This window comes from Homo sapiens, chromosome 9 (assembly GCF_000001405.40).
Source record: "Homo sapiens chromosome 9, GRCh38.p14 Primary Assembly".
Lineage (NCBI taxonomy): Eukaryota > Metazoa > Chordata > Mammalia > Primates > Hominidae > Homo > Homo sapiens.
The window spans coordinates 839,075-865,432 of record NC_000009.12 but is presented as its reverse complement, the minus strand read 5'-3'; the positions used below and the strand labels follow the sequence as shown (position 1 = coordinate 865,432).

The window sequence follows — 26,358 nt, the reverse complement described above, 5'->3', positions numbered from 1 at the left end:
ACATATCTTAAGAAAAAAATGAGCACTCTAACAATTCTACAAGATATCCTAGATAGATATTATTATTTTATTCATTTCACAAATGAACAAACAGACAAAGTTAAATGAACTGCTGAAAATCAGAGAGGTGGTAAGAAACTGAGCCAGGTCTTTTGACTCCAGATCTTAGGTTCTTTCACTGAGAGTCCTTTCCAGGTATAAAGTTATCAAGATAACAACAAATCTCTTTTCCCAGGTGTCTTCAATATTCGAGAACTTTGATCAAGCCATATACCATTCTCTCAGGGAAAACCTGGAAACGTCATGCAGGAATAATGACAATGCTCATTCCACATCAACGCAAACAGTAAAATGACTCTGAGATAGCTGAAGGTAACGTGCATTCTAATTCCATGCTCACTGACCACACTGGTAAGAATAAGATTAGCCTCTAGAAACCAGAATATGTGACTGGACAGTATATCTCCCCATTCCTGCATCACGGCCATACCACAGTTTATTATATAATGAATGGAACTGTAAAACTTCCAAACCATAACTATGAAATGGTTTAGTCGAAGCTTTTGGCTTAAAACTTGAGACCTACTCATAGCTAAAATTGAACTGAGGAATAGAAGTTAAAAGAATACTGGCTGGCGGGCACGGTGGCTCACGCCTGTAATCCCAGCACTTTGGGAGGCCGAGGTGGGCGGATCGCAAGGTTAGGAGATGGAGACCATCCTGGCTAACATGGTGAAACCCTGTCTCTACTAAAAATACAAAAAAAATTAGCCAGGCGTGGTGGCGGGCGCCTGTAGTCCCAGCTGCTCAGGAGGCTGAGGAAGGAGAATGGCATGAGCCTGGGACACAGAGCTTGCAGTGAGCCGAGATCGCACCACTGCACTCCAGCCTGGGCGACAGAGCAAGACTCCGTCTCAAAAAAAAAAAAAAAAAGAGTACTGGCTGGGCATGGTGGCTCACGCCTGTAATCTCAGCACTTTGGGAGGACAAGGCGGGCAGATCACCTGAGGTCAGGAGTTCAAGACCAGCCTGGTCATCATGGTGAAACTAAAAATATGAAAATTAGCCAAACGTGGTGGCAGACACCTTTAATCCCAGCTACTCGGCAGGCTGAAGTGGAGAATCGCTTGAACCTGAGAGGCAGAGGCTGCAGTGAGCCGAGATCACACCACTGCACTCCAGCCTGGTGACAAAGCAAGACTGTCTCAAAAAAAAAAAAAGAAAAAAAAGAAGAAGAAGAAGTTAAAAGAATACAAATAACACATTGGTTTAGCCATTCTATGGCCATTTTCATTTGGACTGAAGAATGGCCTACCAACAGGAAGTGGAAAAGTTACAGGCTTCTCTGCTCCTCTGCTTGTCCTCCAAAGAGTGCAGTGACGAGGACTCAGTCCTGGGACTCTTATCACCCCGCAGTCTGTCCCCCGCCAGTCTCATATAGTTTCCTGGTTTAAAATACCAAATAGTCGGGGGAAACTTGCACCTCATATCAAAAAGGGCCAATCTCCACAATAAATAAGGAAATTCTTGATGTTGGCCGGGATCAATAGAGAAATGGGCAAAGGACATAGATGGTTCAGAGAATAAAATACAAATGGCCTTTAAACATACGGAACGATGTTCAACCCCACTAACAAGGGAAATCTAGATTATAAACTATACCAGTTGCATTAGTCATCTTTCACTGTGTTAACAAATCACCAGAAATTTAGTGGCGTAAATGACACAAATTGACTATCTTAGAGTTCTGTGGGTCCGAAATCTGACGCCAGTCTCTGTCAAGGTGTCTGTGGGGCTGCATTTCTTTCTGGAGCCTCTAGCAGGGACTGTTTCTTTGCTCAATCAGTTAGATGGCAGAATTCAGCTCCCTGTGTGTTAGTAGGACTAGGTCCCATTCCTTGCTGGCTGTCAGCTGAGGGCTGTTGCTAGCCTGTAGAGGCCTCCCATATTCTTTGGCTGAGGGGTTCCCTTCCTCCACCTTCAAAGCCAGCAATAGCAGGTCAAGTCTCTGTCAAGCCTGGAAACTCTCCTGTGTCTTCTGTCATGGCATCTCTAGTTGCAGCCAGGAAAGGTTCTGTCCACACTTCCCCTGCCCTTTTTTTTTTTTTTTTTTAAGAGACGTGGCCTCACTCTGTCACCCAGGCTGAAATGCAGTGGCATGATCACTGTTCACTGCAGCCTTGAAATCCTGGGGTCAGGCAATCCTCCCACCTCAGCCTCGCAAGCAGCTGGGACTAAAAGCAGCCACCCCCACACCTGGCTAATTTTTTTTTTTTTTTTTTTGTAGAGACCTGATCTCGCTGTTGCCCAGGCTGGTCCCAAACTCCTGAGCTTAAGCAATCCTTCAGCCTCAGCCTCCCAGAATGCTGGGATGAGAGGCATGAGCTACCACACCCAGGGAGCTCTCCACTTTTAAGGATTCATGCCATTAGATTGTGCCCATCCGGAAAATCCAGGATCATCTCACTCATCTCAAGACTCTTGACTCAATCACATTTGCAAAGTCCCTTCTGCCATGTAAGGTACCAACTTCACAGGTTGCAGGGATTAGGGCACAGGCATCTTTTGGGAGGCCGTTATTCACCTGACCACGCTGATGTACATAACCTCACCTAACTAGGAAAACCCCAACCACCTAGTGCTGGCTGCGCTGTAGCAGCCACTCTCAGAAGGGAATACCATTGACAACACCCACCAAAACTACACTTCAACGTACCCCCAGTATAGACTTCCCGTCCCAGCCTTTCTTTCCATCTCTACTGCCACCACCCCAGCCTAAGCAGCTCTCCCTTTCACCTGGACAACAGCACGACCTTCCCATCAATCTCTCACCCAGTTCCCTTCAAACACCACCACACAAGAGCAGAGATATTTTAAGAAAGTAAATCTCAATCTCCCTCCCCCTCCCCCTCCCCCTCCCCATTGCACGGTCCTCGTCTCCCCTTTGCACCGTCTCCCTCTGATGCCGAGGCTGGACTGTGCTGCCGCCATCTCGGCTCACTGCAGCCTCCCTGCCTGATTCTCCTGCCTCAGCCTGCCGCGTGCCTGGGACTGCAGGCGCGCGCCGCCACACCTGACTGGTTTTCCTATTTTTCGGTGGAGACGGGGTTTCGCCGTGTTGGCGGGGCTGGTCTCCAGCTCCTGACCGCGAGTGGTCTGCCAGCCTCGGCCTCCCGAGGTGCCGGGAGTGCAGACGGAGTCTCGCTCACTCAGTGCTCAGTGTTGCCCAGGCTGGAGTGCAGTGGCGTGATCTCGGCTCGCTACAACCTCCACCTCCCAGCCGCCTGCCTTGGCCTCCCAAAGTGCTGAGATTGCAGCCTCTGCCCAGCCGCCACCCCGTCTAGGAAGTGAGGAGCGTCTCTGCCTGGCCGCCCATCGTCTGGGATGTGAGGAGCCCCTCCGCCCGGCCGCCCAGTCTGGGAAGTGAGGAGCACCTCTTCCCGGCCGTCATCCCGTCTAGGAAGTGAGGAGCGTCTCTGCCCGCCCGCCCATCATCTGGGATGTTGGGAGCGCCTCTGCCCCGCCGCCCCATCTGGGATGTGAAGAGTGCCTCTGCCCGGCCGCGACCCCGTCTGGGAGGTGAGGAGCGTCTCTGACCGGCCGCCCCGTCTGAAGGAGCCCCCCCCCGCCCGGCAGCCGCCCCGTCTGGGAAGTGGGGAGCATCTCCGCCCAGCAGCCGCCCCGTCCAGGAGGTGGGGGGCAGCCCCTGCCCGGCCAGCCGCCCCGTCTGGGAGGTGGGGGGCCCCTCTGCCCGGCTTCCCCGTCTGGGAAGTGAGGAGCCCCTCTGCCCGGCCGCTGCCCCTTCTGGGAAGTGAGGAGCCCCTCTGCCCGGCCGCCACCCCGTCTGGGAGGTGTACCCAACAGCTCATTGAGAACAGGCCATGATGACAATGGCGGTTTTGTCGAATAGAAAAGGGGGAAATGTGGGGAAAAGAAAGATCAGATTGTTATTGTGTCTGTGTAGAAAGAAGCAGACATAGGAGACTCCATTTTGTTCTGTACTAGGAAAAATTCTTCTGCCTTGGGATGCTGTTAATCTATAACCTTACCCCCAACCCCGTGCTCTCTGAAACATGTGCTGTGTCCACTAAGGGTTAAATGGATTAAGGGCGGTGCAAACTGTGCTTTGTTAAACAGATACTTGAAGGCAGCATGCTCCTTAAGAGTCATCACCACTCCCTAATCTCAACTACCCAGGGACACAAACACTGCAGAAGACGGAAGGCGGCAGGGCCCTCTGCCTAGGAAAACCAGAGACCTTTGTTCACATGTTTATCTGCTGACCTTCCCTCCACTATTGTCCTATGACCCTGCCAAATCCCCCTCTCCGAGAAACACCCAAGAATGATCAATAAATACTAAAAAAAAAAAAAAAAAAAAAAGAAAGTAAATTAGATCACACCATTCACTGCTTTAATAGTTAATGGCTGTCCACTGCATTCATGCTAAACTCCCAACCCTTTCCGTGGTATACACAGGCAGCTGTGCGCCCTTCTGCTATGAGCCCATGACACAACCCCACTGGTGTCACCCTGTGCTCAAAGCACTCAGGCTCACAGCTGCCTGCCTCAGCACAGTCTCACCTTGCTGCTCCTTCCTCCTCAAATGCTCTTTCCCCAGATCTTGATGAGAATGGCTCACTGTCATTTGGGACTAGCTCTGACTTAACTTCCTTAGAGAGGCCTCCCTTCTTTGACCACCCTATTTAAAACAGCCCGTGTCCCCTTGGTCACATCCATCATATCACTTTGTTTTTCTTTACAGCACTTACCACTTACTGCAAATATCTTATTTATTGATGTACTTGTTTATCAACTGTCTTCCCTGGCAGCCCCCAAGAGATATAAGGTCCATGTGAGAGATATATGCACTGCTATATATCCTGCACCTAGAATAGGATCTGGCTCAGTGCAGCCATAGAATGAACATTTGTTGAACGAATAAAGAAGTAAAATGAAAAAACAGAGTAAGAAGAGTGAGGGAGGAAATCTTGCTCAGACAGCAAACTCTCCAGCAGAGATGAATTCAATTCAATTCAGCAAACATTTATTGCCATTTGATAAATCCAATCTGCTTCACTGAACTAATTTGTATTTTGTGTATTTTATTTTACTTTTTATGTATTTAATTTTTTTTGAGACAGAGTCTCGCTCTGTCGCCCAGGCTGGAGTACAATGGCACGATCTCGGCTCCCTGCAACCTCCGCCTCCAGGGTTCAAGCCATTCTCCTGCCCCAGCCTCCCAAGTAGCTAGGACTACAGGCATGCGCCACCACGCCCGGCTAATTTTTGTATTTTTAGTAGAGATGGGGCTTCACCATGTTGGCCAGGCTGGTCTTGAACTCCTGACCTCAAGTGATCCACCCACCTCGGCCTCCCAAAGTGCTGGGATTACAGGCGTGAGCCACCGTGCCCTACCCCATATTTTAGATAAAACCTAAAACCTCAGGACTAGAGTTAACGGGTAGTTAACGGCAATTTTTATAAGTTCTGAAATCAACATTGAAAGTCATCTGTTACTATATGCTGAATGGCAATGGATGGCTGAAGCAGTATCTAAGAACCTTACTGCCAATAAACATCAGAAAATCTGCTATTACTGTAATACTGAATTGATTATTTTCTTTTCACAACTTGCCAGCTATTTATAGTCTACTTTAAGAGTTTCTTACACATTTTTTTCTGGAAAGCATGTTCAGTGGTATTGTACAATGAGACCAGATTAGCAACTATGAAGTCTGCCTGCAGACGTTTTAGAGACTGGCATAAACTTGGTTTGAAGTGTAATTTGGTTCAACAACAGTAATCAATATTTATGTGAATTTTCATAGGAGACTCAAAAACACCGAATTGGATTTTTTTGTGATTTGGAAAGTGAAGACACCTTCAGGCTGAAACAGAAATGCACATATACATTTGCATAGCTGCTTTTGACAACCGCAAAAGGGACCGTGACAAGTCAAGACTCCGTGAGAGAGCACTGAGAGCCCCAGGGGACCCACAGGCACCCCTACTCCACTTCCTTTGCTTCACGGTACAACTAAGGGCACTCCTAGGCTCAGAGTCCAGATCATCAGACAGAATTTACAGTGTACTGCATAAGGTGTTAGTATACAGTCCCCTGCATCCGTTCCCTATAAACCTCAGTTATTTTACAGACTTTGGAGCCCCTTATTACCCAAGAGGCACAGGTTAGAGCAGCACTTAAAACAAAGGAAGAAGTCAGCAATACAGGAAACATTTGGGAGTTAAGAGAGCCAAGAAAGGATGCTGGCAGAGATCAAAGGAATCATCGTAACTCATGTGAGTCTACAGGTGATTTCAGAAGCCAGGGAACTTTCAAGAAAGCTGGGCTTGCATAAGAGACTGGCCTCAGTCATAAGTTAGTTCATGAGAGGGGTAAATGGGAAATAATCGTTTAATGGGTACAGAGTTTCTGTCTGGGAAGTTCTGGAGATGGATGGTGGTGACAGTTGCACATTATGGTGAATGTACCTAATACCACTGAACTCTATGCTTAAAAATGGTTACAATGATAAATATATATATATATATATATATATTTTTTTTTTTTTTTTTTGAGACAGACTGGAGTGCAATGGCGCGATCTCAGCTCACTGCAACCTCCGACTCCCAGGTTCAAGCGATTCTCCTGCCTTAGCCTCACAAGTAGTTGGGATTACTGGCACCCACCACCATGTCTAACTAATTTTTGTATTTTTAGTAGAGACAGGGATTCGCCATGTTGGTCAGGCTGGTCTCGAACTCCTGACCTCAGATGATCTGCCCGCCTCGGCCTCCCAAAGTGCTGGGATTACAGGCGTGAGCCACTGCGCCCAGCCTAAAATGATAAATTTTAAGTTGTGCATATTGTACCACAATAAAAGAGAGTTTTTAAAAATAAGTTAATTAATATAAAAAGAGGACAAAAAGGCATTCACAAGACTCCAAAAGTAAGTAGGTACCTGAGGGGTGATCAACAGGACAGGATCCTCAAACCACCAAGTAACTAGGAATATGTGAGTCAAAGAACTCCAGGGGGATGCTGCTGAGTAAGCAAGTGACACTGATGACACAGATGACCTTTGTGACCTTCCAAAAGTTCCCTATGGCAGCAAGCGTAAGGCAGCACAATACAAGGACAATACCTAGTGTCACCACCTGTAAAAGTTCCCCAATGCTACAACCAGGTCTGAAAGTCTTTGTGAACTGCCCTCTTCCCACTGGCCACATGAAGGACAGCTGTCCATTTTCACCAACTCTCGGGTTTTCTCTTTCACTCCCCAGAAGAGTGACAGTGGTTTTCCAATTTTAGAAACTCACAGATTAAAAGGCACATGCACACGTATGTTTATAGCGGCACTATTCACAATAGCAAAGACTTGAAACCAACCCAAATGTACAACAATAATAGACTGGATTAAGAAAATGTGGCACATATACACCATGGAATACTATGCAGCCATAAAAAAGGATGAGTTCATGTCCTTTGTAGGGACATGGATGAAACTGGAAACCATCATTCTCAGCAAACTATCGCAAGGACAAAACACCAACCACCACATGTTCTCACTCATAGGTGGGAATCGAACAATGAGAACACATGGACACAGGAAGGGGAACATCACACACCAGGGCCTGTTGTGGGGTGGGGGGAGGGGGGAGGGATAGCATTAGGAGATATACCTAATGTTAAATGATGAGTTAATGGGTGCAGCACACCAACATGGCACATGTATACATATGTAACTAACCTGCACGTTGTGCACATGTACCCTAAAACTTAAAGTATAATAATAGAAAAAAAAAGAAACTCACAGATTAAAACTATTCCTGCCAAGTTTTAGGGCAACAGAATTCTTGCTCCCTCGTTTTCAGGAAACACATGTCACCCAAAGTCCAAAATGTTACTTTAGCCCTTCCTATAGATACCAATATTTCTACCAACCAATAATACAGCTACAGCAAAGAAAAACTCTCTCCAGGTCCCTTTATGAATTGCTTTACTTCCACAAATACTGTTCCTTTCAATATAAACTCTGTGACAAGTAAGAAAGGAACGTTTTCAAAGACTGAATATATATATACATATTATATTCAATATATACACATATATATATTTTTTTTGAGATAGAGTCTTGCTCTGTCACCCAGGCTGGAGTGCAGTGGAGCAATCTCAGCTCCCTGCAACCTCCACGTCCTGGGCTCAGAAAATTCTCCCACCTCTGCCTCCCGAGTAGCTGGGATTACAGGCATGTGCCACCACGCCTGGCTAATTTTTGTATTTTTGGTAGAGACGGGGTTTCACCATGGCTGGTTTCGAACTCCTGACCTCAGGTGATCCACCCACCTCGGCCTCCCAAAGTGCTGGGATTACAGGTGTGAGCCACCACACCCAGCCTGAATATTAACATGTATCTATTGATAATAAAATGCAAACCTAAAGAATCCTTCATAATCTAAACTTGTCATGAGAGACTCTCGCAGGGTTTTAATTACCTGTAGCTTGCTAGGATAAAGGCATCTTCCCTTGTAACTTAAAAAAACTTAGTTTCAATTTTCTGGAACCCTCATAGACTGTCGGTAGGAATGTAAAATAGTGCAGCCTCTTTGGAAAAGTGTGGCAGTTCCTCAAAACGTTAAGGACAGAGTTAACATAAAACTCAGTAACACCACTACTTGGTATATACCCAAGAGAATGAAACATACATTCATTCAAAAACTCTTGCACACAAGTTCACAGCAACATTACTCATAATAGCCAAAACCCATAAGTAACCCAGATGTTCATCAGCTGATAAACAGAAAAATAATGTGGTATATATCCATATGATGAAATATTACTAATATAAAGGAACAATAATAATTAAAAATACATGCTACAACATGGATAAACTTAGAAACATCAGGCTAAGTAAGAGAAGTAAGACACAAAAGGTTACACATCTTATCATTCCAGTTATATAAAATTTCCAGAATAGACACCTCTGTAGAGACAGAAAATCTATTAGTGTCTGCCTAGGGCTGGAGCGAAGAGTACATGGGGAGTGACTGAAATGTTCCAAAACCAGATTCTTGTGACTGTGGTACAACCCTGTGAATTTACTAAAAAACACTGAATTGTACACTTGAGACAAATGAATTACCTGGTATATGAATTACATCTTAAGTCGTTAAACTACATTTGAATTTTTAATCACCTTAAAAATTCAGAGGTCACCGGGCGCGGTGGCTCACACCTGTAATCCCAGCACTTTGGGAGGCCGAGGCGGGTGGATCACTTGAGGTCAGGAATTCGAGACCAGCCTGGCCAACATGGTGAAACCTCGTCTCTACTAAAAATACAAAAATTAGCTGGGCATGGTGGCGGGCGCCTGTAATCCCAGCTGCTCAGAAGGCTGAAGCAGGAGAATCGCTTGAACCTGGGAGGCAGAGGTTGCAGTGAGCCGAGATCATGCCATTGCACTCCAGCCTGGGTGACAGAGCAAGACTTCATCTCAAAAAAAAAATTCAGAGGTCAGGCATGCTGCCTCATGCCTGTAATCCCAGCACTTTGGGAGGCCAAGGTGAGAAGATCACTTGAGCCCAGGAGTTTGAGACCAGCCTAGGCAACACAGCGAGATCCCCATCTCTATAAAAATATTTAAAATGAGCCAGGAGTGGTGGCACGTGCCTGTAGTCCAAGGTACTTGGGGACTGAAGTGGAAGAATTGCTGAGCCCAGGAGGTCAAGGCAGCAGTGAGCCAAGATGGCACCACTGCATTCTAGCCTGGGCTAAAAAGCGAGACCCTGTCTCAAAAAGAAAAAAAATTCAGATATATGTTTAAAATATCACAGAACAAAAATGTACACTGAACATCAATAGTTTTATTCTCTGGTGTCTACAGGTGGGTTCAGATCACTTACCTAGTATTTTAAAATAGAGCTTCAAATTTAACCATCATTTATTCATTCAGCAATGGTTTATTGACCATTAACTATAAAGCCAGGTACTGTACTATACAGAAATGGATAAAATGCAGTGTTTGTCCTTAAAGATTAGATTTTCACAAGGGAGACACAGATGTAAACCAATCAAATGTTTTTGTTTTTTAATATGCTGTTATAAAATTTATTTGTAACTTTAACCCCTGTATTTACGTTTCCTGGCTCTAGATGTTTTCTAAATTTCCTTTCTAGTCAAAGGTAGACAAGTAGGTTACTTCCTACGTACTTTGTTTTCATAATTGCTTTATTAAAATACTATCCACAGAAAGTTTCTATCTGACCAATTAAACTGCTATACTTGACATATAAGCAAAGACTATCCCTGAGATAAACAAAATTGAGACACTATCTAAAATAGGCTATCAAAGCCATCAGTCCCTGGCCGGGCATGGTGGCTCACCCCTGTAATCGCAGCACTTTGGGAGGCTGAGGCGGGCGGATCACGAGGTCAGGAGATTGAGACCATCCTGGCTAACATGGTGAAACCCCGTCTCTACTAAAAATACAAAAAAAATTAGCCTGGCGTGGCGGCGGGCGCCTGTAGTCCCAGCTACTCGGGAGGCTGAGGCAGGAGAATGGCGTGAACCCAGGAGGCGGAGCTTGCAGTGAGCCGAGATTATGCCACTGCACTCCAGCCTGGGTGACAGAGTGAGACTCTGTTTCAAAAAAAAAAAGGAGTTTTGTTTTGCTAGAAACTCTGAAAATTTGTTTAATTTGAAAGTAAAATTTGGGAATGTTTTTATCTGAAAAGCTTTTTCTTAATCTAATATCATTTCCTATTCTAGCTTTAATTGAAAGCTGTCTAAAATCAAACGGATCTCATTTCACTTAAGTGGCCAGACTCTTTCAAAAATAAAGTCTCAATCCAATTTGTATAAAACGCTTTTATTGCTTATTTGAATAAAGTATTTCCTTCTTTACAACATTAGAAAACTCCAAAGATAAGACCAGCCTGGCCAACGTGGCAAAACCCTGTCTCTACTAAAAATACAAAAATTAGCCAGGCATGGTTGCATGCGCCTGTAGTCCCAGCTACTCAGGAGGCTGAGGCACGAGAATCACTTGATCTGGAAAGTGGAGGTTGCAGTGAGTCAAGATCACGCCACTGCACTCCAACCTGGGCAAGAGTGAGACTCTGTTTCCCAAAAATAAATAAATTAATAAAATTAGCTGGGCATGTAGCGCACCTGTAGTCCCAGCTACCTGGGAGGCTGAGGCAGGAGGATTACTTGAGTCCAGGAGTTTGAGGCTACGGTGAGCTATGATTGTGCCACTGCATTCCAACCTGGGCAACAGAACGAACCTCTGTCTCTTGAAAAATTAAAAAAAAAAAATGGGCTTAGTGTGTAGGCTCACACCTGTAATCCCAGCACTTTGGGAGCTGAAGCAGGAGTTCAACTCCTGACTGCTGGAAGCCAGGAGTTCAAGACCAGCGTGGGCAACAAAAAGAGACCCTGTCTCCACAGAAAGAAAAATTTTAAAAATTAGCCAGGCATGATAGCGTGCACCTGTAGTCCTAACTGCTCGGGAGGCTGAGGTGGGAGAATTGTTTGAGCCTAGGAGTTGGAGGATGCAGTGAGCCATGATGGAGCCACTACACTCCAGCCTGGGAGACAGAATGAGACCCTGTCTCTAAATAAATGGCCAGTCCTGGTGGCTCATGCCTGTAATCCCAGCATTTTGGGAGGCCGAGGCAGGCGGAGCACCTGAGGTCAGGAGTTCAAGACCAACCTGGCCAACATGGTGAAACCCTGTCTCTACCAAAGATATAAAAATTAGTGGGAGTGGCTAATTTAAAATACAAAAATTAGCCAGGTTTGGTGGTGCATGCCTGTAATCCCAGCTATTCAGGAGGCTGAGACAGGAAAATCGCTTGAACCTGGGAGGCGGAGATTGCAGTGAGCCGAGATCACACCACTACACCCCAGCCTGGGAGACAAGATCAAGACTTCGTCTCAAAAAAAAAAAAAATTAATTAAATAAACAAAAATTTAAAATAAAATAAAAATTTGCAAAAAACTCTAAAATGTTTAAAATGTTATCTTAAATTTAAATAACCCCACAGAGAATTTTTAGGACAGTGGCAATGCTGTGAATACTATAATGGACACAAGCTATTACACATTTGTCCAAACCCATTAAAAAGTACATCAACAAGAGCAAACCCCTATGCAAACTACGGACTCTGGATGACAATGATGCATCAGTGTAAGTTCATCGATGCTAGCAAATGCACCACTCTGATGGGGATGCTGGTAATGTGGGAGAGGCTCTGCATGTGTTGGGGCAGGGAGTATATAAAAAAAATCTCCGTACCTTCCTCTCAATTTTGCTGTGAACCTAAAACTGCTCTAAAAAATTGTTTTTTTTAATTTAAACAACTATCTTCCGTTGTGAATTCACCAGCCATATCTCTTACTTGTAAAAACTGCATGGGATACTATTCCATTTTCAAACGAACACATTTCATGTTTTATGAACTTTTAAGCACTTAAACATACGACACAATGTGTTTCCCAACTGGCGTGTGCTCTCTCACTGTGTGCTCTCCAAGTGGAGTAACTGCTGAAGAAAAGTGAAGGAAAGGCCCCTTCAATATTAGACACAGACCTGACTGATCCTTCTAACAGGGGAAAGGTGACTGAAACTGGGCCACGAGCCACAGAAGAGGCTGGAGCTGCCCAGGGGGGCCCGAGGTGGTTTGATCTGGGGGAGGGTGAATGTGAGTGTGGATGGAAGTCCCCGGTGCTCCAAAAGGGAGGGCCCCAAGACAGATAACATTCAGGTCCTTACAAAGGACACACATGCAGAACTGAATTATCTACAATGCAACCCTTCATCTGACAGCTTCTGCACAGAAAAGGAGAGGAAGAGAACTATGCAGACCTTTGCATTAAGTACTGTGTCAAACAGCATTCTATAGGAGCACGGGAGGCTGAAGAAAAAGTAGAATATTAAATAAAACAAAACAAAGAGGAGCCTACATTTACAAAGAGGAAGAAGACCTGAGATTTAAGTCAGCTAATAACTTTCGAAAAAAAAAAAAAAGTACATTTTATGCTAAAGTTCAAAACATGAAACCACCGGAAAAAAATGTAAATTTGCCGTTAATTATTTGTCATGTAGAGTCAAAATCATTTATCTTTTTTTTTTCTGAATACTCCAAAAATGGCTGGGAATAAACTATTTGCTTATCAATAGTGTACCTGCGGCCAGGCACGGTAGCTCACACCTGTAATCCCAGCACTTTGGGAGGCCGAGGCAGGCGGATCACTTGAGGTCAAGAGTTCAAGACCAGCGTGGCCAACATGGTGAAACCCCATCTCTACTAAAATACAAAAATTAAACGGGTGGTGGTGATCGCCTGTAATCCCAGCTACTCAAGAGGCTCAGGCACCAGAATCTCTTGAACCCAGGAGGCAGAGGTTGCAGTGAGCTGGGATCGCGCCACAGCACTCCAGCCTAAGCGACAGAGTGAGACTGTCTCAAAAAAAAAAAACAAAAAAAAAGTGTACCTGCTAACAACTGATCCTGCTGGTACAAGCAACAGCAATAAACAGAATTTCTTCAAAAGACTATTTCTTTCCACAGTAATATCCAAAATCATGTAAGAAAATAACAACAAAAATATTTTACACTCGTTATTCAAAGACTATCCAGTTAATCTGGTCAGTCTTAGCCAATCTTTGGCTAAAGATTTTAGAGATTTTCTTCTAATATATGTTATCCTCCTCAGAGAGGCCAGTTTCTCCAACAAATGAAACCATACTTAATTTCCTTCTAAGTGTCCTCAGAATTTGGCCAATATTCTTGGCAATAATTCTTGAGCATTTCTCTTCTTCACTTTTGGCCCTTTTGGGAGCCAAAAGGAGATAACTAAGAAACTTCAAGGACTTTAAATTCTACTAAGGCCAGATGCAGTGGCTCACGCCTGTAATCCCAGCACTTTGGGAGGCCGAGGCGGGCAATCATTTGAGGTCAGGAGTTTGAGACCAGCCTGACCAACATGGTGAAACTCTGTCTCTACTAAAAGTACAAAAATTAGCTGGGCATCGCCACGCACGCCTGTAATCTCAGCTACTCAAGAGGCTGAGGTGAGAGAATCGTCTGAGCCCGGGAGGTGGAGGTTGCAGTGAGCCAAGATTGCACCACTGCACTCCAGCCTGGGCGATAGAGCGAGACTGTGTCTCAAAAAATAAATAAATAAATAAAAGTTGACTAAATTTCACTAAGCTACTGACCTAGTAAACACTAGACATCAGGTATTAGAAAGTAGAAAGTTAGCAACTTGCCCCAAGGTGTGCCAGGTTGGTAGGTTTTACTATTCCATGACAACTCCTACAACTTTCACCTCTCACTGCATAACTTCAAATCGTAGCCTTCCACGTCTATTTTTCTTTCTTTTTTTTTTTTTTTTTGAGATAGAGTCTCACCCTGTCGCCCAGGCCGGAGTGCAATGGCACAATCTCAGCTCACTGCAACCTCCACCTCCCAGATTCAAGAGATTCCCCTGCCTCAGCCTCTCGAGTAGCTGGGATTACAGGCGTGTGCCACCATGCCCAGCTAATTTTTATATTTTCAGTAGAGATGGGGTTTCGCCATGTTGGCCAGGCTGGTCTAGAACTCCTGACCTCAGGTGATCCACCTGCCTTGGCCTCCCAAAGTGCTGGGATTACAGGCATGAGCCACTGCGCCTGGCTGGCCTCACATCTATACAGTGGAATTCTAGGTCACTAAAAATTCTCAGCTGTAGTAAATGAAAAAAGCTAATTAGACACAAGTAGGAACAACATACTTCCACTATATTAATTATGCAAATATTTTATATTACATATGAAAAGGATAAACAGACACATACACCTGTACATGCAGTAAATCATCCTGGAATGACAAACAGACCTGCAGGTTGGGGTTAGAAGAACAATGATCTTTCATGGAATATATTTTTGTACTCCACTATACATGTTTACCATTCACCTCCATGAAATTATTTTAAGTAAATCCAACCTCTGAAAAATGAATATAAGCTATATATTTGTTAGTAGGAAGCTATCTAAGAAGCTCCCTTTGCTGCATACAAGCTTCAGGACTCTCCACAGTGTGTTTGTTTTTTTGGCTCTCCCCCACTCTCCCACACTCCATCTTTCTGTCTCTATATTTACGTAGTTTAATTCTGCTGGCATCTGAATTTCCCTCTTGCTCACATCCTAACTCAGTCCAGAAGTTATCAATCCTCACTCAGGAGGTCTGGTAGCAAATCCCATGAATGACAGCAACCTGTGGCTCCTGCCCCACAGAGATGAGCTGGTTAGCAGAGAGCCTATTGTCAGCTGGGCGTGGTGGCTCACGCCTGTAATCCCAGAACTTTGGGAGGCTGAGGCATGCAGATCACCTGAGGTCGGGAGTTCGAGACCAGCCTGACCAACATGGAGGAAACCCCGTCTCTACTAAAAATACAAAATTAGCCAGATAGCGCATGCTTGTAATCCCAGCTACTTGAAAGGCTGAGGCAGGAGTATCGCTTGAACCTGGGAGGCAGAGGTTGCGGTGAGCCAAAATCGCACCACTGCCCTCCACCCTGGGCAACAAGAGCAAAACTCTGTCTCAAAAAAAAAAAGAGAGAGAGAGAGAGCCCATCGTCCTCAGAAGGTAAAGGCTCCCGGAGCCATACTTGCCCACCTGTGCCTGAGCAAATGAGCACAGCACGCTGTAGGCTTCCACATGCCCCTTCCCTGTGAGTGCTAGTTCAAGGCTGTAGAATGACTCCAAGGTCTGTCAACTCCACAGGTGAGGAAGGGACTCTGGTTAAATCCTCCTTGACCCTGAACCCTCTATCTTGCCCCCCTACTGCTTCCTTTTGTAACTTTCCCTATCACCACTCTGAAACACCCTTGTGAGAGTCGTTCTGAACTCTGCATAGCCTAAAGTCCTTCTCTAAAGCTCCACTATCTTAGGGTTTATAATCAAACCTTGATGTTATGCCACATCCAGCATTGACACTGATCCGTCACTGGCCTTTCCCTGTATTTCTTCCTGTGAAGACCCATGGCTGCTGTCTTCTCTGCCAAGATAGAATGGCAGGGACTTTTTCACCTAACATTGTTGCTAACTGTCCATCAGCCCTAAATTACTCTGAGGATTAGACCACAGCCTCTAAACAATCGTTAAGTGTCCATTTTCCAAGGAAACATGGCAACTGGTCCCAGTTAAGTAGAATGGGAAATCCATAGGTTTTGGAACCAGACAGGCCTGGAATAAATCCTAGCTCAGCCAGCTCTTTTCTGTGGCAGTCTCCTTACCATTTACTAAGCCTTGGTTTTCCTATCTGTAAATGAGGATAATAATTCCTACCTCCTGAGACGTTTGTGAAAATCAAATGAGTTACTCCCCTATGGAAAACCTGGCACTGGAACTTGCCCTCTTTACTCATGTGACACATCCCATTTCTCATCTCAGCCCCACAGCTGAATCCACCAGATTAGCCATGACCCTGTATTATTTAGTCACTAAACCTTTGACACATCTTAAAATCTTAAAGCATAAAGATCGTATTTCTGATACACTCCTTCCTTCCTATGAAAAGCAAAGTTTTGGCCTGGCATGGCAGCTCACGCCTGTAATCCCAGCACTTTGGGAAGCTGAGGTGGGTGGATCACTTGAGGTCAGAAGTTCAAGGCCAGCCTGGCCAACATGGTGAAACTCCATCTTTACTAAAAAATACAAAAATTAGTCGGGTGTGGTGGCGGGCGCCTGTAGTCCTAGCTACTCAGGAGGCTAAGACAGGAGAATCATTTGAACCCAGGAGGTGGAGGTTGCAGTGAGCCAAGATCACACCACTGCACTCCAGCCTGGGCAACAGAGTGAGACTCCATCTCAAAAAAAAAAAAAAAAAAAGAAAGGAAACAAAAGTTTGGAAACTATTATAAGGACATACTATGAGCAGCCAATCCAAGCAAAGAAAAAAGAGTATCTTGACCTCTGTTAATTACATAGTCAGTAACTTCAGTAAAATACACAAAGACAGACACAGACAGACACACCTTCCTGCTTTCTTTGGTGCTTAACTTCTTTTTTAACTTCTTTTCTGCTTAACTTCCTTTTTAATAATGGCCAAGATTCATAAGATCTTTAAGACCCTCAGGAACCCTTTCCCTCATTTTTGACAAGAGGAAAAAAAGGCCCAGGGAGCTTAAGTAACTTCTCCAAAGTTGCACAGCTAGTTAATAATATATAGTTGTGTGACTTTAGTACACAGTGCTTAAGCCCAGCAAATGGAGTAATTCATGAAAGCTTAGTCAAGGTGATATCACACTGCTAGGCTGTATTTCATGGAGCTTAGAACACTTTAAAGACATTTAAAGATATTCTGTGAATTACAGTATGTGTATCTAATTGCCAGAAATAACAAGATTCCACAGGTCTTTATTTGGTGGATGTCTCATAGCTCCCACATTCTAGACCAGTGCCATCGAATTAGACTTTCTAAGAGACAGCAATGCATTATCCAGTATGATAGCCCTTAGCTGTATATGGCTATTAAGCACATGAAATGTGGCTAGTGTAATGAAGAAACCGAATGTTTTCATTTATTTCATTGTAATGAATTTAAATTTAAAAAGCCACATGTGGCTAGGGGCTTCGATATCGGACAGTACAGCTCCAGACCTGTGTAATTTAGAGACCTAGTGCAGTAAGCACATTGAGTATTGAGCTTTGGAGACAGATAAACTCATTCAGATACTTTCTAATTCAGTAAACTTGGCCAATCCCATAACTGTCTATGTCTCAGGTTTCACATGTGTAAAAAAGAACACATTCCTCCTTAGCACCCAGGGGAGAGAATTCAAGCCAACGTGGCCTTCCTTCCGGTGTTACTTCCCGCTCATTCAAATTTGACACTAGGATTTGGCCTTTCTAGACACTTTCCCCAAATGGATGCAGTGGAGAAGTGGACTTCTAGTTCTAGGAAACAAGGATATTTAGTTCCCACAAGGATGACTGGAAAATGAAGGGGTGGACTGAGATGAAATCTGAACAATCTCACCTCTCTCTAACATCATTCTCTGTCCAGACTCAGTCTTGACTAATAACCAACAGGAAAGAGTTGAACCTGCATTTCTAGAATTCACGGCCCCCTCCTTTGTGATGCAGGCACAAACAGCCCTTCACAGGGAGAATCCTCTACAGAATCCTCTAAGCTCTAAACACTGTATGTAGCTCAGGGGAGCCCTGCTTCTGTGGCTGCAACCCTTCGGCCTCCCTCATGCCCAGCCTCCATGTGAACCCCAGCCCCTCCAGATTACCTGAAGCTGCAGTGGTGGGGACACTGGCCGGCGGTGGCTGAGAGGTGCCACTGCACTCAGTCATGAGGCACGGGTTACTGCCATTGTTCTCTCTTTTGACAAGCAGCTCGGCCGCACTGGGCAGTGGGATGGGGTGGCTGATACCCAATTCCTCCTCCTGGGCCTGCTGCCTTCTCAGGGCCACCTGGAAGCACACGACAATGAGTCATCCTCCAGCACTCCAGAATCAGCTTTGCCAAAACACAGAAGCCCCACCCATCCCAGACACCATGATTCACTAGCTCTGGAGGTGAGGTCTGAAAATCTCCCATTTCTTCTTAAACCCACCCAGGTAACTATGATGTGCAAAGCTGAGAAACAGTTTTGAGCCAGACAGTAGGTGCTCAAAAAATGCTTGTTGCCAGACATGGTCGCAGATACCTGGAATCCCAGCTACTCAAGAGCTTGAGGCAGGAGACTCACTTAAGCCCAGGAGTTTGAGGCTACGGTGGGCTATAATCGCACCACTGCACTCCAGCCTGGGAGACAGAGCAAGACCCTGTCTCTTAACAAACAAATAAAAAAGCTTGTTAAACAAATGACTGTGTAGAATAAGATTGGCTAGGGAGGATCAGGAAAAAACTATAGTCAGCCAAGGGGAGGAGTACAATCTGAAGAGTAGAGTGGGTCAGAAGCACTAACAGATTAGGAAGGAAAATGGGATCACTCACTCCTTCATTCCATAAACTTGTAAAAGGCCACTGTACTAAAAACAGGTACCAGTAAGAGTAGATTGTATCCTACATTACTTACTGTTTAACAAATGAAACAGGGCCAGGAGTGGTGGTTCGCACCTGTAATCCCAGCACTTTGGGAGGCAGAGGTGGGCCGATCACCGGAGGTCAGGAGTTCGAGATCGGCCTGGCCAACATGGTGAAACCCCATCTCCACTAAAAAAAATACAAAAATTAGCCAGGCATGTTAGCCCACCTGTAGTCCCAGCTACTCGGGAGGCTGAGGCAGGGGAATTGCTTGAACCCAGGAGGCAGAGGTTGCAGTGAGCCGAGATCGCGACACTGCACTCCAGCCTGGGCGACAAAACAAGACTATGTCTCCAAAAAAAAAAAAAAAAAGGCAAAAACAGGAGGCAAACATGCAACTACAACAAAAGGCAAACTGAGACCAACACCACAAGAGTGGTACACAGAAGTACCTTTCACTCCTACAGAAGAAAGTCAGAGAGAGAAATGTCTTTCACATGTTAAAATCAGCCAGCAGTAGTATTTGGACAGAGCCTTGAAGAATAGGATGAGGAGGACTTGGACAGGCAAGGATGAAGGGGCAGTACATATCGGAATAATATGGAACAGGGTGGGCAGGAAAGGCAGGCAGGGTCTGCTTAGGAAAGCCTGCAGAGCCCTGATTCCTGGGGTGGAGGGAGCATGCGGGAGAAGCAGTGGGGAAAGGGGCTGGAATTTGGTGTTGAAGTCCCTGAAGGAAGAAGAGGCTGAAGGCAGGGAGGAAGGGAGAAGACAGGTGTGTGATATTCCAGACAGACAGGAAGAAGAGAGCCAGAACTGGGGACTGGAAAGGACCTGACATACCCAAGAAGCTCTTCATGGTCCCTCTTCAATAACACCGTTAAAGATTGAAAAAAGGCCAGGCGGGGTTGCTCACACCTGTAATCCCATCACTTTGCGATGCTGAGGCAGGTGTATCACCTGAGGTCAGGAGCTCGAGACCAGCCTGACCAATATGGTGAAACCCCATCTCTACTAAAAATACAAAAACTAGCCAGGCATGGTGGTGTGCGCCTGTAATCCCAGGTACTCAGGAGGCCGAGAGGAGAATTACTTGAAGCCAGGAGGTGGAGGTTGCAGTGAGCCGAAATCGAGCCACTGCACTCCAGCCTGGGCAATGGAGCAAGACTCCGTCTCAAAAAAATAAATAAATAAATAATAAGATTGAAAAAACAGGTTTAAAGAAAATTAATTGTATTTTTGCTTTCTACATGTAACAAAGACTTTCTGTTGAAACTAAGGTATGGTGCTTATGAAATGACAGTGAAGCACCCACACCGCAGAGCTGCCCAAATATAAGCCAAAGGTGAAATCAAAACGTTCAATTAAAAAACACAACTACAGGCCGGGCGCAGTGGCTCACGCCTGTAATCCCAGCACTCTGGGAAGCCGAGGCGGGTGGATCACCTGAGGTCAGGAGTTTGAGACCAGCCTGGCCAATATGGTGAAATCCCGTCTCTAACTAAAAATACAAAAATTAACCGGGTGTGGTGGCGTGTGCCTGTAGTCCCAGCTACTCGGGAGGCCGAGGCAGAAGAATCGCTTGAACCCAGGAGGCGGAGGTTGCCGTGAGCTGAAATCATGCCACTGCACTACAGCCTGGGGGACAGAGCGAGACTCCTGTCTCAAAAAAAAAAAAAAAAAAGAAAGAAAGAAAGAAAAACAACTACAATTTATATGTTGTTTTAGGAAAACCACAGTCCAAACACAGGAAGCTGATTAATTGGGAAGTAATTTTCCTCATAGCCAAAAAAAAGTCTTCGACTTAGAAAAATTCATCTTAAATAATTAATTACTTAAAATTAAATAATTAAGCTTAAATCTTGGATTTCCTATTACTAACCAAGAGGCTTAGAAAGAGAACATCAATGAATCTGGCCAGAAACAAGTTTTAAACCCCTGCAAACCTCTGAAGCACATCCAAAATGCACAGGTATCTACTCCATATGCTAAGGACCTTCTCTCAAGGTTTCTTAGAAAATATTATATAAAAAGGAAAGGGGATAACAATTGATTAAAAATGCAACTATACAATTATTTTAGAATCATACGTAAGATCAATTTCAAACTATTTAAAAATGACTAGAAGTAGTTGTTTTATGGATTTTTAAGGATTCATCTGGCACAGTACACACCTTCTGGTGTAGAAAATACTGAAGTTTCCCATTCTAAGTGACCTTGAGTTGCTTTTGTTTTTAACGGTGTAAGCAGCCTCCTCTACTAATAAAGGTTATTCAAAATTAATTCCTCTACTAGAATATTTTTACTACATTTTGAGAAATCCCCCAAGCATGTTCTCCACACTAAATAAGCCAACGACTAAATGTTTAGAGAATTTTTCTGCCCAGAGTATAATTTAAAAGTCCATTAATTTTTTTCAGTAAACTCATTGTGATGCATTTTACTGCCACACCCAGTGTATTCTTTTCACCCACTACAGATTAAGCTTTAAAAATCTATTAAGAAATTAAGCAAAACAATATCTATTTTCATGACTGCACTCGCCATCTGTGAAGCCAAAATACGTTTAGTATAAAACACATTTGTAAAAATCTGATATATTATATAAAAGCATATAACCTTCGGGCATTTGTTTTCAATGGAGGATATTTACACGTTCCTAATCAAAAGTAGCACATCGTTAGCAAACATTTCTTCGTTATCTTTTCATTTTAAATAACCTGTCTTAAAAAGATGAAACAACTTTTAACTGGAAATAACGTGGATTACTGCCTTCCAAAAATCCTTTTAGAATACTAAAGACATTAACTTTCCGTTAAAATGTTAAATTACCAGCCTACTTACGAACCTTCAAAAAAACAAAACCACAGACGGACCAAATCTCAAACCCTGGCGCGCTTTTTTCCACCTGCGCATATTCTTTAAAATTCTTAAGCGTGCTTTAAAACATCTTCAAAGTAATTTGCACTTTAATCTTCGGTCGAGAATGCAAATTTTAAAATGCTAATAAAATTTCCAGAGCTCTCAAAATGGCTGAGGCGCTCAGCCTCCATCCACGGAGGGCGAAGACAAAAAGCGCCCCAGGCGCGCAGGGAAACCGCGCAACGCTGTGTCCATTGCAGCGACTTTTCCAGAAAAACAAACAAGGCTTTCCGACAGGTTACCCGCGTAAGCAGCAGCCGGCCGAGCCTCCCTTTCCCGCTAACCTAGCAGCCAGCGCTGCCGCCCTCCAAGATCCTTTCTAATTTAAGTGCAACTCAGCAAGGAGGGAGAGTCAGAGATTCTGGGGACGCTCGAGGAAATCGAACCCCGAAACCCTCTGCTCCCAAGGCGCGGTCGGAGATTTTTGGGACCCCAAAGCGGAGAGAATTCCTTAATTCTCTGCTAGAAGAGCGGGGCTAGAGATCCCTGGGATTCCCTTGGAGTCGAACCCTCCCCTCTAGCCTCACCTCGGAGGGCGGGAGCGAAGATCCTGAAGACTCCTCTAGCGCAATAAACCCTCCCAATTCTGTTGGAACGCGGGCTCTGGGATCGCGGGGAAGCCCAGAGGGGCGAACCCCGGAATTCCCTGCCCTGAGAGCGGGATCAGGGATCTCAGGGACCCGGGAGCAGAGGGAACCCCCGCAACTCCGCCGAAACACAGGGTGAGAGATCGTGGGGAACCCCGAGCCGAGCGAAGCCCGCAACTCTGCCCGGCGGGCGGGATCAGACGCGTCTCCGGCGCTCCCAGACCGGCGATGTAGCGTGGCCGGGAGCCCAGGACCCCAAGCGCCGCCGCTGTCGGCAAGTACCGCCGCATCTCTCCACAACCCAGGACCCGCATGGCAACGGCCATGCTGGGGGGACTTCATTCAAGAAACTCGGGCCCCGCCGGGAGCGGTGGCCCACGCCTGTAATCCCAGCACTTTGGGAGGCCGAGGCGGGTGGATCACCTGAGGTCAGGAGCTCGAGACCGGCCTGACCAATATGGTGAAACCCCCGTCTCTACTAAAAATACAAAAATTAGCCGGGCATGGTGGTGTGCGCCTGTAGTCCCAGCTACTTGGGAGGCTGAGGCAGGAGAATTGCTTGAACCCGGGAAGCGGAGGTTGCAGTGAGCCAAGATCGCGCCACTACACTGCAGCCTGGGCAACCGAGCGAGACTCCATCTAAAAAAAAAAAAAAAAAAAAAAACTAAGGCTGAACCCGGGCTCCCGCACGCCCGCACCCACCTGCGCGGCCATCACGCGCTGCCTCTCGGCGATCAGGTTGCACTTCTTGCACTGGCAGTCGCGCCACATGCAGAAGCGCTTGTGGCCCTTGAGCGGCGAGGCGTAGCCGTGGTTCCTGCAGCGTGCGCACTTGGGCAGCCGCGGGGACTTCTTGCTCCCGGCACCCAGGTCCGACGCCCCGGAGCCGGAGCCGCCTCCTCTGCTGCTGCCCCCGGCGCTCGAGCCGCTGGCCGCCCCCACTAGCGCCCCAGACGCTTTGCCAAAGCCCCCGGCTCTGCCCTGCGGCGGTACCCCGGGGGCGTGAGGGGCTTCCGACGGTGTAGAGGGCTTGCTGAATGCCTCGTCGTTGGGCATGGTGCCCCTAGGAGAAGTGCGAGCACTCTGGCCCCCTCTCTCGCCTGGAGACTGCTGCGAGGGATGAACCCGACGGACAGCGACGCTCCGGAGGAGGAGGCGCAGGAGACGTGTGCGCTGCAGCCGGAGGCGCAGCTGGAGTGGCGAGGTCTGGGCACGCCACGCCCGGAGTGGTGGGGGGTTGTGCCTTTTCTTTTGGCGCGCGCGCGACTCAGAACTTTCGGATACTTTTCAGAACATTCCCGGGACTGCCTGGGAGGGAGCGTGGCCACGCCCACCGCCCCCCGACTCCAGCCACCGCTCTCCAGCTGCTTGCAAACTTGCACCGGCTGCAAGCATCCAGGGCTTTGCTGCAGGGTCCCTGCAAGCGCACCGAGAGATACAGAGCGGCCTGGGAATCGCGTGGCACCCCTCGCCCCGCTCTCGGAGGCGCCAAGACCCGGTTGCCAAAGCACGGTGCACCGAGGAAGCTGGGCTCCCCAGGTCAAGACCAGAGCCGTGCTTGCATGCTTAGAGGAGGTGCAAACCACCCTATGGGGTCTTCTAGCTCCCTTTCCCCCAGAGAGACGCACCAGATTTGATAGAGCCGACCTTGGCAGCAGCCAAGTCAGAAAAAAATTTTTTTTCTCGCTTAAGAGAATTAAATATGAGGTGGAAGGCCTGAGAAATTTATAGGGTAAATCAGAGTTGCCCTATATACGGCAAAGAAGATCCTCAGTGTTGGGGCACAAGCACTTCAAAAATCTCAAAGGTTGGAACTTTCTGTTCTCCGTTTATCCCTTCCTGCACCTGTCTTCATTTGCTCACAACACTTCTACCTCCTTCGCTCCAAATAACTTTACGATCTACTGTTGCAGCCCGTGTTCCCGTTCACTTCAGGTGCATATAGCTTCTTGTCTGTGAGGCTGTTTAAACTTAGACTCTGCAGGCACGGGAAACTCAAACTTAAAAAGAAACATATGTATTAAAAAAAACTGAGGTTGTGGGGGGTGGTTACACAGATGTAGAAATGTATCAAAACTCATTCTACACTTCATATCTTGCATTTTACAGTATGTCATTATACCTCTACACACACACACACACACACACACACACACACACACACACACACCCCTGGCTCGATCATCTTACAGCCTGTCCCAGGGTTCTCATCCTGAACTCCCGCCCCAGCCATGCCTGTGTCCTCTCTGCACCTGCACAACAAATGTATCCCTAAGGCCTGCTGAGCAGTTCTTCCTACACACCCACGTGCCCCCCTAAGGCCAGCCCTTCACCTCAAGTCTGAATCTCTGCGGTAGCTCCCAGCTGCTATCTCCATGTCTTAGTCTTCCGGTATATTCTATACACACAGCAGGGGGCCCCAGCAGTACTTTGCTATTGTTTTCCATGTTAACAAGTTAAAGACCCCGGAGTGGCTCTTAATGCACTTTGAATGCTCCTTATTTTCCACCAGCACTGGTACTCACCTTCAGGATCCTGGGCCGCCTCCAGACCTAGGGGATTATTTCTCCAAAGAGGCATGGTCACCCTGTTCAACTTCTCATCAAAATGGTTGTACTGTGGCCACCTCTTTCAGCAGTTTGGTGTTTTCAGCACTGAGTTCTGAAATCCTCGAATCTGCCTTTGGAGCTCTAATTCTGAGGCCTCTCTCACAGGCCCTTTCCCTCAGTCTGAAATTTCTCCATTAGTATTCTCTGTCTGAAAATTACTTCCAAAAGAAGCTTCTAGCTTTACACAGCACCTCATACCCTACCTGTGAAACCAGTGAAGCTCTACTCCTGACAGGAGCTAGGATGCAACAATCTATTCCATCCTGGAAACTTATAAATGATAACCACTTAAATCTTCCATTAAAACAATCTTCCATTAAAACACGCATGTCAATTGCTGTTATCCAATATTTATGTTCTTTTTCCAGATTTATATTTTATTTATTTAATTTTTAGAGATAGAGTCTTGCTCTGTTGCCTGGGCTAGAGTGCAGTGGCACAGTCATAGCTCACTGTAGCCTCCAGTTTCTGGGCTAAAGGGATCCTCCTGCCTCAGCCTTCCAAGTAGCTGGGACTAGAAGCATGTGCTACCACGCCAAATTTTTTTTTTTTTTTGAAATGGAGTCTCGCACTGTCACCCAGGCTGGAGTGCAGTGGCGCGATCTCAGCTCACTGCAAGCTCCGCCTACCGGGTTCACGCCATTCTCCTGCCTCAGCCTCCCAAGTAGCTGAGACTACAGGCGCCTGCCACCATGCCCGGCTAATTGTTTGTACTTTTAGTAGAGACCGGGTTTCAACATGTTAGCCGGGATGGTCTCGATCTCCTGACCTCGTGATCCACCCGCCTCGGCCTCCCAAAGTCCTGGGACTACAGGCGTGAGCCACCAAGCCTGGCCCCAATTTTTAAAAATTTTGTGGAGACAGGGGCTTACTATGTTACTCAGGCTGGTCTCAAACTCCTGGCCTCAAGTGATTCTCCTCCTTCCACCTCCCACAGCACTGAGATTTATAGGTGTGAGCCACCGTGCCTGACCCATATTTGTATTTTAATATATAAACTGGAGCTGAATCATTCCCAAGGTCCTGTCCAGTTCTAGAGAGTGAAGTAGATGCAGGAGGAAACAGCTGTCAAATCCCAAATTACAGGGGAATATAGGTTCTTTATAAGCATCCTATTACTGGAATCTGTGAAGGAGGAATTTAAGCCCACAGAAAATTCGGGGCTAGGAATCTCTGTGACCAAGGTATTATAACATAAAATGTTGTGATGA

General features: G+C 46.1%; 1 protein-coding gene across 6 annotated transcripts in view, besides 1 other annotated feature; it reads right to left on the bottom strand.

The window, feature by feature from the left end:
* DMRT1 (doublesex and mab-3 related transcription factor 1) overlaps positions 1 to 23,736 on the bottom strand; it is a 127,394-nt gene extending 103,658 nt beyond the window's left edge. For 2 of the 6 annotated variants that reach the window (XM_006716732.2, NM_021951.3), the window contains exons 1-2: positions 23,241 to 23,736; positions 18,290 to 18,473 (exon numbers count right to left, since the gene is read on the bottom strand). In XM_006716732.2, the coding sequence (XP_006716795.1) occupies positions 18,290 to 18,473; positions 23,241 to 23,594 (538 nt within the window). In that variant the 5' untranslated portion in view covers positions 23,595 to 23,736. Of the gene's footprint in view, positions 1 to 18,289; positions 18,474 to 21,877; positions 22,145 to 22,478; positions 22,721 to 23,240 lie in introns of those variants that run through there. The other 4 variants (XM_011517770.2, XM_011517771.2, XM_011517773.4 and 1 more) reach the window with 2 other exon arrangements.
* Positions 5,848 to 5,897: an enhancer, noted in NCBI's record as "active region_28120". NCBI's record gives its function as "activates an Ori minimal core promoter by ATAC-STARR-seq in GM12878 lymphoblastoid cells {active_cell/tissue: GM12878}" and the evidence as "EXISTENCE:reporter gene assay evidence [ECO:0000049][PMID:35858748]".